The 13,923-nt window shown below is 43.5% G+C and overlaps 1 protein-coding gene across 15 annotated transcripts in view; it reads right to left on the reverse strand.

Annotated features, from left to right (window-relative positions):
* Nucleotides 1–13,923, reverse strand: part of ABLIM1 (actin binding LIM protein 1) — a 370,264-nt gene that overhangs the window by 352,616 nt on the left and 3,725 nt on the right. For all 15 annotated transcript variants that reach the window (XM_047425242.1, XM_047425238.1, XM_047425237.1 and 12 more), the window contains exon 3: nt 8,857–8,947. In XM_047425242.1, coding sequence (XP_047281198.1) covers nt 8,857–8,947 — 91 coding nt within the window. The remainder of the gene's footprint in view (nt 1–8,856; nt 8,948–13,923) is intronic.

Below are 13,923 nucleotides of genomic sequence, written 5' to 3' on the forward strand. Positions count from 1 at the left end.
AAAGGCCCTGATTTGTAGCATTTGCTGATTTTTGTGGTGTAAATACTGTCACTGTGGCTAATAATTTCAAGCTACCAACACTCCTTCACTGAACTTGGAAAGAAATGTTTGCAATAAGCTGTCCAGTATCACTCCTGCAGCGTGCCAGGGCAACACAGCTGCTGAGAGGGAGCATAAAATAAAGAAGGAAAATGTGCACTGAACTTGGCAACACGGAAGCTGTTAGTGACCTTCATGAGAGTCGTTTCTGGACAATGGGGACAGAAGCCAGATTGCAGTAGGTAGAGGAATGGAATGAGGGTAAGAAAGGACAATGCACACTTTTCTAAAGAAACGGATGGGCCGGGCGCAGTGGCTCACATCTGTAATCCCAGCACTTTGGGAGGCTGAGGGGGGCGGATCACAAGGTCAGGAGTTCTAGACAAGCCTGGCCAACATGGCAAAACCCCATCTCTACTAAAAATACAAAAATTAGCCAGGCTCGGTGGTGCGCACCTGTAGTCCCAGCTACTCCAGAGGCTGAGGCAGAAGAATTGCTTGAACCTGGGAGGCGGAAGTTGCAGTGAGCCGAGATCGTGCCACTGCACTCCAGCCTGGGCAACAGAGCAAGACTCTGTCTCAAAAAAAGAAAGAAAGAAAGAAAGAAAGAAAGAAATGGGCCGGGCATGGTAGCTCACGCCTGTAATCCTAGCACTTTGGGAGGCCAAGGTGGGTGGATCACTTGAGGTCAGGAGTTCAAAATCAGGCTGGTCAACATGGTGAAATCCCATCTCTACTACAAATACAAAAAAATGAGCTGGGCGTGGTGGCGGGCGCCTGTAATCCCAGCTATTCGGGAGGCTGAGGCAGGAGAATTGCTTGAACCCGGGAGGCAGAGGTTGCAGTGAGCTGAGATCCAGCCACTGCACTCCAGCCTGGGCAACAGAGGGAGACTCACCTCAAAAAAAAAAAAAAAAAAGAAAAAGAAAAAAAAAAAAAAATGGATGGTAGCTGGAGAAGGAAGACAAGTCAAAATTTGAAATAAACTCAGTGAGATTAAGAGGTTTACTGCAACGTGCACTGAATAAGTGGAGAGGGTAGAATCTGAACCCAGATTTGTTTGATTCCAAAACATATGCCTTATTATGACTTTCCTGGACCATAAAGGAAAAAAAATGTCATAAGCTACCTAAACATTGAATTGCAGATGATTTTTCTATTTACCCTTTTCTGTGTTTTCTAATTTTTTCATTGAGACTAATTTACTTTCATATTCATAAAATGATTAATAGATCTTATACTTGCAGAGTAAGTACCAGAATAGAGCAAAGTATAAGGAAACATTACTTAGTCAATTTCAAAAGAAATAGCATATTGCCAAACAGTGCCACCTCGTACAAAGTTTATTTTTCAGATTAATATTTAAACTTCCATCCTATTTTACAGTTTATAAATCAACACACATTAAAATATCTGTGAACTAAAACACCTAAAGGTGCTACCTTCGAAACTCATGTTCATAGATTCTAACTCCTAGGTGGCTTCTCAACATCAGATGTGGGAAGGCACTGTGTCCTGTGTTTTGTGTAGTACTGAGTACACTGTCACAGCTCAAAAGACAATGAATAATGGTATGAAGTGATGTAACTTTCTTTTAAAAGATTGAAGTCTCTTGTATTGAAATTCAAAAGGAATTATAGTTATTCTTTTTAGAATCCAGTATGTAATAATGGAATAAGTTACTTAAAGACTTTATTGGATCTCATGGGGATGTTTTTTTCCTTTGGCTTTGTAAGAAAACAAATCTGTGATAAGAATAGCATTCTTAGTATAATGGGTAGGGGGGCATGGGTGTAGATGAAATAGATAATTGAGGTCCTATTTTTACATAATTCTATATTATTCATGTATAAATACAACTATAAGGTTACAATTATCTTTTTGGATTATAATTTTATATTATTATAATAGTTTTGAGTGAATATAAAATCTCATACTAATGGAAACAGTTTTTGTTTGTTTGTTTGTTTTGTTTTTGTTTTGAGACCGATTCTCGCTCTGTTGCCCAGGCTAGAGTGCAGTGGCACGATCTCAGCTCACTGCAACCTCCACCTCTTGGGTTCAAGCCATTCTCCTGCCTCAGCTTTGCGAGTAGCTGGGATTACAGGTGCATGCCACCACACCCGGCTGATTTTTGTATTTTTAGTAGAGATGAGGTTTCACCGTGTTGGCCAGGCTGGACTTGAACTCCTAATCTCAGGTGATCCACCCGCCTTAGCCTCCCAAAGTGCTGGGATTACAGGCATGAGCCACCGCACCTGGCCAGAAATAGTTTTATAAGAGTATCAATATAATTATTTCTTTTTATTCTTAATACCTGCATCTAGCAGAATTACATTCAGTTTTTTAAAAGAGATTTATTGCTATTTGAAAAAGAGAGAAAAGTAAATTATTTGCAGATCATTTAATTGTCTACTGGAAAATCCAAGAGTATTTATGGTAATACTATTTGAACTAACAGAGTATGGTCTGAAACAAAAACATACAAAAATCAATAGCTACTTACACAGCAAAAGTAGTCTGTTAGAAAATATGAGGGGAAAAGACCCCATTTACAATATCATGAAAAGCTACAAAATACCTCAAAATATCCATAAAGTATAAAAGCACTGTACTTCACTAGAATGAGCTATCTAGATTTGAATATTCGATAGTAAGTTGTATAAAAGATGAGGACTGAATTATATTTAGTTTTGAGCACCTTCAAATTTATTTTTATTTTATGTAAACATTTATATAATTTTAAGAGCCTTATTAATAGATGGATTAAACAGTATTAAACTTGTACAGCACAATATTAAACACATTTGTCATAGGTCTCTTGAAATTATTTGATAAGACTGCCACCTACAGGTGGCAAGAAAAGCAGAGGGGCACTGAAATGTATTTACCACTGACCATGTATCATCATCAGGCATTACATTAAGAAATCTGGTTGGCCAGGCTGGTCTCCAGCTCCTAACCGCGAGTGATCCGCCAGCCTCCGCCTCCCGAGGTGCCGGGATTGCAGATGGAGTCTCCTTCACTCAGTGCTCAATGGTGCCCAGGCTGGAGTGCAGTGGCGTGATCTCGGCTCGCTACAACATCCACCTCCCAGCAGCCTGCCTTGGCCTCCCAAAGTGTGGAGATTGCAGCCTCTGCCCGGCGGCCACCCCGTCTGGGAAGTGAGGAGCGTCTCTGCCTGGCCGCCCATCGTCTGGGATGTGAGGAGCCCCTCTGCCTGGCTGCCCAGTCTGGAAAGTGAGGAGCGTCTCTGCCCAGCCGCCATCCCATCTAGGAAGTGAGGAGCGCCTCTTCCCTGCCGCCATCCCATCTAGGAAGTGAGGAGCGTCTCTGCCCGGCTGCCCATCGTCTGAGATGTGGGGAGCGCCTCTGCCCTGTCGCCCCGTCCGGGATGTGAGGAGCGTCTCTGCCCGGCCGCCCCGTCTGAGAAGTGAGGAGACCCTCTGCCTGGCAACCGCCCTGTCTGAGAAGCGAGGAGCCTCTCCGCCTGGCAACCGCCCTGTCTGAGAAGTGAGGAGCCTCTCTGCCCAGCAGCCGCCCCGTCTGAGAAGTGAGGAGCCCCTCCGCCCGGCAGCCACCCCGTCTGGGAAGTGAGGAGCGTCTCCACCCGGCAGCCACCCCGTCCGGGAGGGAGATGGGGGGGTCAGCCCCCCGCCCGGCCAGCCGCCCCATCCGGGAGGTGAGGGGCGCCTCTGCCCAGCCGCCCCTACTGGGAAGTGAGGAGCCCCTCTGCCCGGCCAGCCGCCCTGTCCGGGAGGGAGGTGTGGGGGTCAGCCCCCCGCCCGGCCAGCCACCCCGTCCGGGAGGGAGGTGGGGGGTCAGCCCCCCGCCCGGCCAGCCGCCCCGTCCGGGAGGTGAGGGGTGCCTCTGCCCGGCCGCCCCTACTGGGAAGTGAGGAGCCCCTCTGCCCGGCCAGCCACCCCGTCCGGGAGGGAGGTGGGGGGGTCAGCCCCCCGCCCGGCCAGCCGCCCCGTCCGGGAGGTGAGGGGAGCCTCTGCCCTGCCGCCCCTACTGGGAAGTGAGGAGCCCCTCTGCCCGGCCACGACCCCGTCTGGGAGGTTTACCCAACAGCTCATTGAGAACGGGCCATGATGACAATGGCAGTTTTGTGGAATAGAAAGGGGGGAAAGGTGGGGAAAAGATTGAGAAATCGGATGGTTGCCGTGTCTGTGTAGAAAGAGGTAGACATGGGAGACTTTTCATTTTGTTCTGTACTAAGAAAAATTCTTCTGCCTTGGGATCCTGTTGATCTGTGACCTTACCCCCAACCCTGTGCTCTCTGAAACATGTGCTGTGTCCACTCAGGGTTAAATGGATTAAGGGCGGTGCAAGATGTGCTTTGTTAAACAGACACTTGAAGGCAGCATGCTCGTTAAGAGTCATCACCACTCCCTAATCTCAAGTACCCAGGGACACAAACACTGCGGAAGGCTGCAGGGTCCTCTGCCTAGGAAAACCAGAGACCTTTGTTCACTTGTTTATCTGCTGACCTTCCCTCCACTATTGTCCTGTGACCCTGCCAAATCCCCCTCTGCGAGAAACACCCAAGAATGATCAATAAAAAAATAAAAAAAAAAAAAATAAATAAATAAATAAATAACTCAACCCAAGTTACACAGCTAGTAGCAGAGCTGTGAGTCAACTCCAAAAAAAAAAAAAAAGAAAGAAATCTAGTAGGGACTGGGCAAGGAGGCTCACGCCTGTAATCCCAGCACTTTTGGAAGCTGAGGGGGACGGATCACCTGAGGTCAGGAGTTTGAGACCAGCCTGACCAATATGGTGAAACCCCGTCTCTACTAAAAATACAAAAATTAGCTGGGCGTGGTGGCGTGTGCCTGTAATCCCAGCTACTACAAAGGCTGAGGCAGGAGAATCGCTAGAACCTGGGAGGTGGAGGTTGCAGTGAGCCGAGATTGCCCCACCGCACTCCAGCCTGGGTGACAGAGTGGGACTCCGTCTCAAAAAACAAACAAACAAACAAACAAAACAAAACAAAACCTCATAGGCTTGCCAGATAAAATACAGGAGGCTCACGTAAAGTTGAATTTCAGTTAACAACTAATACTTCTTAGGTAAGTATGTACCAAATATTGCATAGAATACACCAGTACCAAAAAATTATTCATTGTTTATCTGAAATTCAAATTTAACTGGGCATTCTGTAGTTTTATTTGCTAAATCTGGCAACCCTTAAAAATGAAGATAATGGCCAGGCACAGTGACTCATGCCTGTAATCCCAGCCCTTTGGGAGGCCGAGGTGGGCGGATCACGAGGTCAGGAGCTCAAAACCAGCCTGGTCAATATGGTGAAACCCCACCTCTACTAAAAATACAAAAATTAGCCGGGAGTGATGGCACGTGCCTGTAGTCCCAGCTACTTGGGAGGCTGAGGCAGAAGAATCGCTTGAACCTGGGAGATGGAGGTTGCAGTGAGCCGAGATCATACCACTGCACTCCAGCCTGGGCGACGGAACAAGACTCCGTCTCAAAAAAAATAAAAAAGAAGAGAAAAAAGAAAAAAATGCAGATAATGATGTTGACCATACTCTGCTAATTAAAACCTTTCGATGGTCTCTATGGCCTCAGGAGAGGGTCCAAGCATCTTAATAGGCATGTACGACCATTCATGTCTCTGCTACCATCTTGCTCCTTATTGCCTTAGTGTGAGCTTCCCATTGACATCAAAATCTTTTTTTATAACTTTTACTTTAGACTTGGGGTACATGTACAGGATTGTTACATAGGTAAACTCGTGAACTAATTTACACTCCCACCAGAAGTGTATAAATGTTCCCTTTTCTCTGCAACCTCATCAGCATCTGTTATTTTTTGACTTTTTAACAGCCATTCTGACTGGTGTGAGACGGTATCTCATTGTAGTTTTGATTTACATTGCTCCAATGATTAGTGATATTGAGCATTTTTTCATATGCTTGTTGGCCACATGTATATCTTCTTTTGAAAAGTGTCTGTCCATGTCCTATGCCCACTTTTTAATCGGGTTGTTTTTTGCATGTATATTTGTTTTTTTTTTTTTTTGGATACAGAGTCTCACTCTATCCCCCAGGCTGAAGTGCAGTGGCATGATGATCTCAGCTCATTGCAACCTTCACTTCCTGGGTTCAAGCGATTCTCCTGCCTCAGCCTCTGGAGTAGCTGGATTTACAGGTGCATGCCACCACGCCCAGCTAATTTTTGTATTTTTAGTAGAGATGGCGTTTCGCCATGTTGGCCAGGCTGGTCTAGAACTCCTGACTTCAGGCAATCCACCTGCCTTGGCCTCCCAAAGTGTGGGGATTACAGGCGTGAGCCACTGGCCCGGCCTCAAGTTTCTTGCATATTCTGGATATTTGACCTTTGTTAGATGTATAGTTTGCAAATATTTTCTACTAACATCAAAATCTTTCTTTTGCTTAGGTAGTTTGGCCTGGAATATAGAGGTTCCTATATGTCTATCTTTTAATATTGTTTAAGATAATTTTAATACCTAATCACATCTTCCCTTTGGAGTTTTAAAGTGAATGTCAAAATTATAAGAGCAGATTGTGATTAATTAATACATTACCTCAAGAAGAAAAAACTAGTGAGAACACACAACTTATATAAAAACATTATCTTTAAAAGACATTGGAAATTGTATTTCCTGTTTACTTTGTGTTCTTGTTTAAATGTCAAAGAGAGAAAAACCCTAGTGAATTTAAATTGTGTGTCTATGTGTTTCTTTGGCTATATAATTTTCAAGGCCCTATGGAATACAAAAATAAGAAGCGTCTTGCTCAAAAATTACTAAAAATTTCAACATGGTAACAGAACAGCATTAACCTAGGTGTGGACCCTTCTGAGTGCAGGGCCCTGAGTGCACAGGTCACATTTCCCATGAATCATTTTATTTTTCTCTCCAACTTAATTGGTTCAGAATTGAGGTTTCTCTAAGGGAAATTCCTTTTTGTTTACACTAGAAGCATGTGAATGACTTAAAATTCATGATGTGTTGAGATTTTGCTAAATGGACCTACTAAATAATAAGAAAATAAAGCTTATAAGAACGTGGACTTTGCAGTCAATTCAAAATCTGACTTCATGGTTGCCTTGGAAGACTCAAGGGTTGGCTTCAAGGACACACAAATGCCCTAAAATTGTAATTAAAATTACATGTATTTGTAAATGCATTTTTCAGGGAAGAACTTTTATCTGATTCTCAAAGGGATCAGTAACCCCAAAAAGCTTTAAAAACACTGTTCTATGAAATTATTTATCCTTTTTAAAAAAAAATCTGCCAAATCATGATCTGCTTTAATTTTATTTATTCATTTATTTATTTTACAGATGGGGTCTCACTCTGTCTCCCAGGCTGGAGTGTACTGGAGCGATCATAGCGATCATAGCTCATGGCAGCCTCGAACTCCTGGGCTAAACTGATCCCGCCACATAAGCCTCCTGAGTAGCTAAGACTACAGGCCTGTGTCACTACACAGGGCTACTTAAAAAACAAAAAATTGTTTGTAGAGACAGGGTCTTGCTTTGTTGCCCAGGCTCATCGTCTGCTTTTAAAGGCCTCTGCTGGTGGCTGGTTTAAAAACTTTAAATATGGCAGGGCGCGGTGGCTCATGCCTGTAATCCCAGCACTTTGGGAGGCCAAAGCCGGCGGATCACGAGGTCAGGAGATCGAGACCATCCTGGCTAACATGGTGAAACCCCGTCTCTACTAAAAATACAAAAAATTAGACGGGCGTGGTGGTGGACGCCTGTAGTCCCAGCTACTCGGGAGGCTGAGGCAGGAGAATGGCGTGAACCTGGGAGGGGGAGCTTGCAGTGAGCCAAGATTGCGCCACTGCACTCCAGCCTGGACGACAGAGCAAGATTCCGTCTCAAAAAAAAAAACAAAAACAAGAAAACAAAACAACAACAACAAAACTTCAAATACAAGGAGTTGTGCAGATTTTTTAAATTACTCTTATTTCAATATATAAAAAGGAAAAACCATGAAAAGAGAAATACAGAATACATGAAGACCCCAATCAGAGAAATGAAATCTAAAAGGAACCCTTACACTCTAGCTGCTACCATCAGAAAACTTGAGAGATAGTAAAATTGACCTTTCATTGCAGTATGCCTTATGTAATAATATGTAACATGTATTAAGCACTTACCATGTGCCTGGCACTGTCTCAATAATCATTTACAACTCTTAACTTACTTAATCCTCTTAGCAATTCTATAATCCCCAATGTGGAAATGAGGAAACGGAAGCAAATAGAGGTTAAGAATCTTGGCTGGGTACAGTGGCTCACACCTGTAATCCCAACATTTTGGGAGGCCAAGGCGGACGGATTGCTTGAGTTCAGGAGTTCAAGACCAGACTGGGCAACAAGGTGGGACCTCATCTCTACAAAAAAGACAAAAATCAGCTGGGTGTGGTGGCACATGCCTGTAGTCCCAACTATTTAGGAGGCTGAGGTGGGAGGATGGCTTGAGCCTGGGAGGGAGAGGTTGCAGTGAGCCAAGATCACACCACTGCATTCTAGCCTGGGTGACAGAGCCAGACCCTGTCACACACAAAAAAGAATCTTGCCCAAGGACACAGAGTGAATGGTGGACACAGGTTTTGAATTGGTCACAAAGTCAGTATTCTTATAAGCTTTATTTCCTTCTTGATTATTTAGTAGGCCCACTTAGCAAGATACTGATACATCAGATAACTTTCATTTAATAGATATCAAGAATAAAGAAGTAGAATAAGGAACAGAGAATTTATCCTTTCAGACAACTTTTTCCTTTGGCTTCCTGGACACCACTGCTTTGTGGTTCCCCTACCTCCTGCTGGCTGCTCCTTCTTCTTTCTGTGGGATTCTCCTCTTCTCCTTCTCAGGTCTTGATCCTCTTCTTCCCTCCATCCATGAGGCTCCTTGGGTAAACCAATCCAATCCCATGACTGTTAATACTGTTCATATGTTGATGATTTTCAAATTTATATTTCCAGCTTGGACCTTTCCCTTGAACCCAGATTCTATATTCAGCTGCTTTATCAATGTCTCTATGTGGAGATCTGATATAATTTGGATCTGTGTCACCACCCAAATCTCATGTTGAAATGTAATCCCCAGCTGGGTGCAGTGGCTCATGCCTGTAATCCCAGCACTTTGGGAGGCAGAAGTGGGAAGATCACCTGAGGTCTGGAGTTCGAGACAAGCCTAGCCAACATGGTGAAATCCCATCTCTACTGAAAATACAAAAATTAGCCAGGAATGGTGGCACATGCCTGTAATCCCAGCTACTCAGGAGGCTGAGGTATGAGAATCACTTGAACCTGGGAGGCAGAGGTTGCAGTAAGCCGAGATCGCGCCTCTGCCCTCCAGCCTGGGCGACAGAGTGAGACACCATCTCAAAAAAAATAAAAAGAAAAAAAGAAATGCAATCCCCAATGTTGGAGGTGGGGCCTGGTGGGAGGTAACTGGATCAGGAGGGCAGATTTCTCATGAATGGTTTAGCACCATCCTCTTGGTGCTGTCCTTGTGATAGTGAGTGAATCCTCATGAGATCTGGTTGTCTGAAAGTGCGTGGCACCTTCCCTCACTCTCTTGCCTTGGCCATGTGACGTGCCTGCTCCCCCTTTGCCTTCCACCATGACTGTAAGTTTCCTGAGGCCTCCCCACAACCAAGCAGATGCCAGCACCATGCTTCCTGTACAGCCTGCAGAACCATGAGCCAATTAAACCTCTTTTCTTTATAAATTACCCAGCCTCAGGTATTTATAAAAGCAGTGCAGCTTTATGCTGCACTTTATGCTGATAGTGCAGCATAATTGACAGTGGCCCCAGCTCCTGCACCTGAAATCTTGATCCCTGTGTTCTTGCTGAGGCTGGGTGTCCCAAAGGCTACTCCCAGCTAATGACTTGAGTGTGGCAGGAACACAGGAGCAGGCCCATTACTGGGAGATGGGAGACTCCTCTGATGGGTAGTTTGGGCTCAAGGACTCCCTACTGGCCTTGCCAAACTTTCACAGAGCTGTACTGTAGTCTCCAAGTCTCCCGTCCATCCTTTTGCCCTCCCTCTGTCTATTACCAGGGTCAGACCTGCATTGCAGTCTGAAAGCTCTCAAACCCTATTCTGGCACCCTCTCCATCTCCCCTCACAGGTGTTCCTCTTAATAAATCTCTTGCACATCTTCTAGTTAGTTGGACTGCTTCTGCAGTTACAGTCCTGTAGTCTCTTCACGCAGCAGCCAGAAGTGATCAAGCTAAAACCAAATTCCTTTCCATCTCCTGTAGGCACCATGCAGTCTGGCCGCTGCTTCTCCATGGATCCCATCTCCTCTTGGACTCTGCTGTGGCTACACAAGTCTCCTGGATGTGTCTGGACCTACTAGGTTTGGTTAACTTGCCTTTGCACTAGTCTTCCTCTCCGGAATATTTCTGTCCCAGATACATACATAGCTTGACCCCTCTACTTATTCGTGTTCGCTATCCTCTTACCCTGCTTCATTTTCTCTTCACTACATTTAGTCACCATTTGATATATTATATCTCTTTTGTTTATTGATTCTCATCCCCAATTACAATGCAAGTGCCATGAAAACATAGACTTCGTATGTCTTATTTATTCCCATATGCCCAACAACCAAAAAATGTACCTGGCACATAATAAGTACTCAGTAAGTTTTGCTGAATGAATGAATGAATTTTTACTAAGAACCATTTATAGGTTCATTTAAAAAATCAAAGGAATTTACAAATGTAAGTTTGATTATGAACATCTGAGGTTTCTGAAAAATGAGATACAACTAGAAAAATGAGTAACATCAGTAATTGAGGATACATATTTGTGTTTTTTGGGGTTTCTTGATGCTGATGTTTTTTAATGCTGAAATTTTGTAAAATAAAATTCAAACTACATACTAATCACTAACCTTTTTAATATAAAATAGTACTTTATCTAAAGCAAGCTTGACCCACAGTTAATTAGCTGGATCATAGCCAGGAAAGTGCTAAAATGTCAAGGAAGTGAAAATTGTCTTTCTTTGACTCTCAGGAGTACAAGTAAAACCAGGGAATAGCTGGCAAATCTATTTTTTTCAAGTATAGTGAGAAAAAATACAGGAAAACATTCAAGAATCTCCCTAATGCTGAGAATATATGACAGCAAATTAACTTCCTGGCTGTAATGAGGAATAATTGGACATACATCTGAATTTTTATGAGATTTAAGGAAATTGAAAGCTTGAACACACTTGAGATTAATTTTTTAAAAAACTCCATGTTCTAATGAAACTTAAACCAACCCTCTCACTTTTCTAGTTCTATTTTTAAGGAAGAAAAAAATAAAAATATCATATAATCACATTTTTTAAAAACTGAGACCCAGATTATAAATCAAAGGGTCACACAAACATTCTTTGACCTAATAGTCATGCGCATACAAATGGTAGCGTCTATGGCATGCAAATAGAAGACACAAAGTGCCTTTCTGGCAGTCTGCCCTTCTCTGAATATTACATTTAGAGGGAATAGGCAGAATGCAGACACTAGACCCTGTCACTCATTCACCGCACAAAAAGGTCAGACTTACATTGAAGTGCTTAAGTGGGATAACTAATACCAGGTCCACTATGCCATCCTTGTCAAGTGGTCAAAAGAAGCCTAGTAGAAATTACACTTCTGGGCTGGGTGCAGTAGCCCACACCTGTAATCTCCGCACTTTGGGAGGCCGAAGTGGGCGGATCACCTGAGGTCAGGAGTTTGAGACCAGCCTGGCCAAAATGGTGAAACCCTGTCTCTACTAAAAATATTAAAAAACTAGCCAGGCGTGGTGGCACGAGCCTGTAGTATCAGCCACTTGGGAGGCTGAGGCAGGAGAATTGCTTGAACACGGGAGGCAAAGGTTGCAGTGAGCTGAGATCACACCATTGTACTCCAGTCTGGGCAACAAGAGCGAGACTCCATCTCAAAAAAAAAAAAAAAGAAATTACATTTCTGGTTTTACCACTCAGTGGTCGCACAAACCTGAATTAATCCTCTCAATTCTTCCAGAAATTGTGGCAAAAAGATATAAGCCTGCCTTAGAAATACTTGCATATTACTATATGGTAGGGATGTAAAATTACTTATCATACTAAATATTATTCCATATTCCATGAGAAAGCATGTCCTTGTTTTTATTTTATTTTGCCTATAAAAAAGCCAAACTATGACCTATTCAGTATTTTCAGGTAGTTATTACCACCTCCTGAATTTATGGGCATCCACTACAAAAGGAGGCCAAGATATCCTCAGATATGTGTGATCTTACAGAACCTTGACTTGAGAGGCAGGAGCCCTGTGTTCTCACTTCATGTTGGCCACTAACTAGCTTTGTGACTTTGGGTAAGCTTCAAAATTTTTCAGTATTATTTATCTATTGCTGCTTAACAAATTACCCCAAGCATAGAGGCTTAAAACAACAAACATATTATCTCACAGTTTCTGTGGGTTGGGAATTCAGGAGTGGCGTAACAGGTCCCACAGGGCTCAGGGATTCTCAAGAGGTTGCGATAAAGATGTCAGCTGGAACTGCTGTCATCTGAAGGCTTGACTGGAGCTGGGGGATCTACTTCTAAGCTCACTCACATGGTTGCTGGCAAGAGGCTTCAGTTCCTTGCCATGTGGGTCTCTCCAGGGTTGTTTGTGATATGTCAGTTGGCTTTCCCCAGAGTGAAGACCCAAGAGCAAGAGGGCAACTAGACAAGAGTGAACACTAGCCTTTAAACCTAATCTCAGACATAACATACTTCTGCTGTATTCTACCCTTCACATAAACTGACCCTGGTACACTGCAGGAGGGTACTACACAAGGGTGTGAATACCATAAAGTGGGGCTCACTGGGGAATATCTTGGAGGCTGGCTACCACTCTCTGACCCCAGTTTCCTTATCTATAGAAGTCTTTGAACTACATGATCTTTAAGGTTGGTAATCTCCTCCCTCCCCACTGCTACTCCCAGACCTTGCTTTTCCACTGTCATGTCAAAATTCCTACTCCTTTTAGCTTTAAGCCATTTGGCTATACCAACCTCCACCCCACCTTGTTGCTGTTACTTGTAGACTTCTGGGCCATGGGACAGTTGTTCTCCTCACTCCAAGTCCTGCCATCATCTTACGACCTGCATATCCTCATGGGTGACCCATCCCAAACCGTGAACTTTCAGCTTCTTGACCTCATCATCTCTAATGCCTTTCCCATACACTCCATTTCAATACCCATCCTCCACATCAACATCCTAAATTTGCCATCAACAAAACTGTCCAACTTCATAAACAATAAATCCAATCATCTCACTCTCTCACCGTAACTTCCTATTCTTCCAATTATCTCATCAACTATTCCCAAGAGATGGGTCCCCAGACGTTGTTGGAACCTCCAAAAAATTGTCACATCTACTTTCTCCATATCAACTCCCTCCTGTTTTCATTTCCACTTCATATTAGATTTTAAGTTCCATCACTTGAGCCACTTTCTGAATAGATTCTTCAACTCCTTTAACTCATAGTCCCTTCTTCATACCTGAATGGAAAAACCTTATTTCTGATTGATTTCAAATGACTATCTTTCTATTACCTACAACCAGGTTACCAAAGGTTGCTGGAGAAAATCACATAACAGTATAGATTGGATACATAGTCATCAAATTCCAAAGCTGCCCACTAGTTCCACAGTCAATGTTTCCCTAGGTAGCACTCTTACACACACTTAGTGTCTCTCTCATTCAATGGGCTCAAAATTCCATTCCCTTGTATCTTCTCAGAAACTCTGATTTTTTTAACCCAGTGCAATCTCACTTCCACCTTCCTGTCTTTCCTGCAGTAATCCCTTCCTTATTTTATTCCTCTATTGATTTCCTCCTTTGAAA

Source organism: Homo sapiens, chromosome 10, assembly GCF_000001405.40.
Source record: "Homo sapiens chromosome 10, GRCh38.p14 Primary Assembly".
Taxonomy (NCBI): domain Eukaryota; kingdom Metazoa; phylum Chordata; class Mammalia; order Primates; family Hominidae; genus Homo; species Homo sapiens.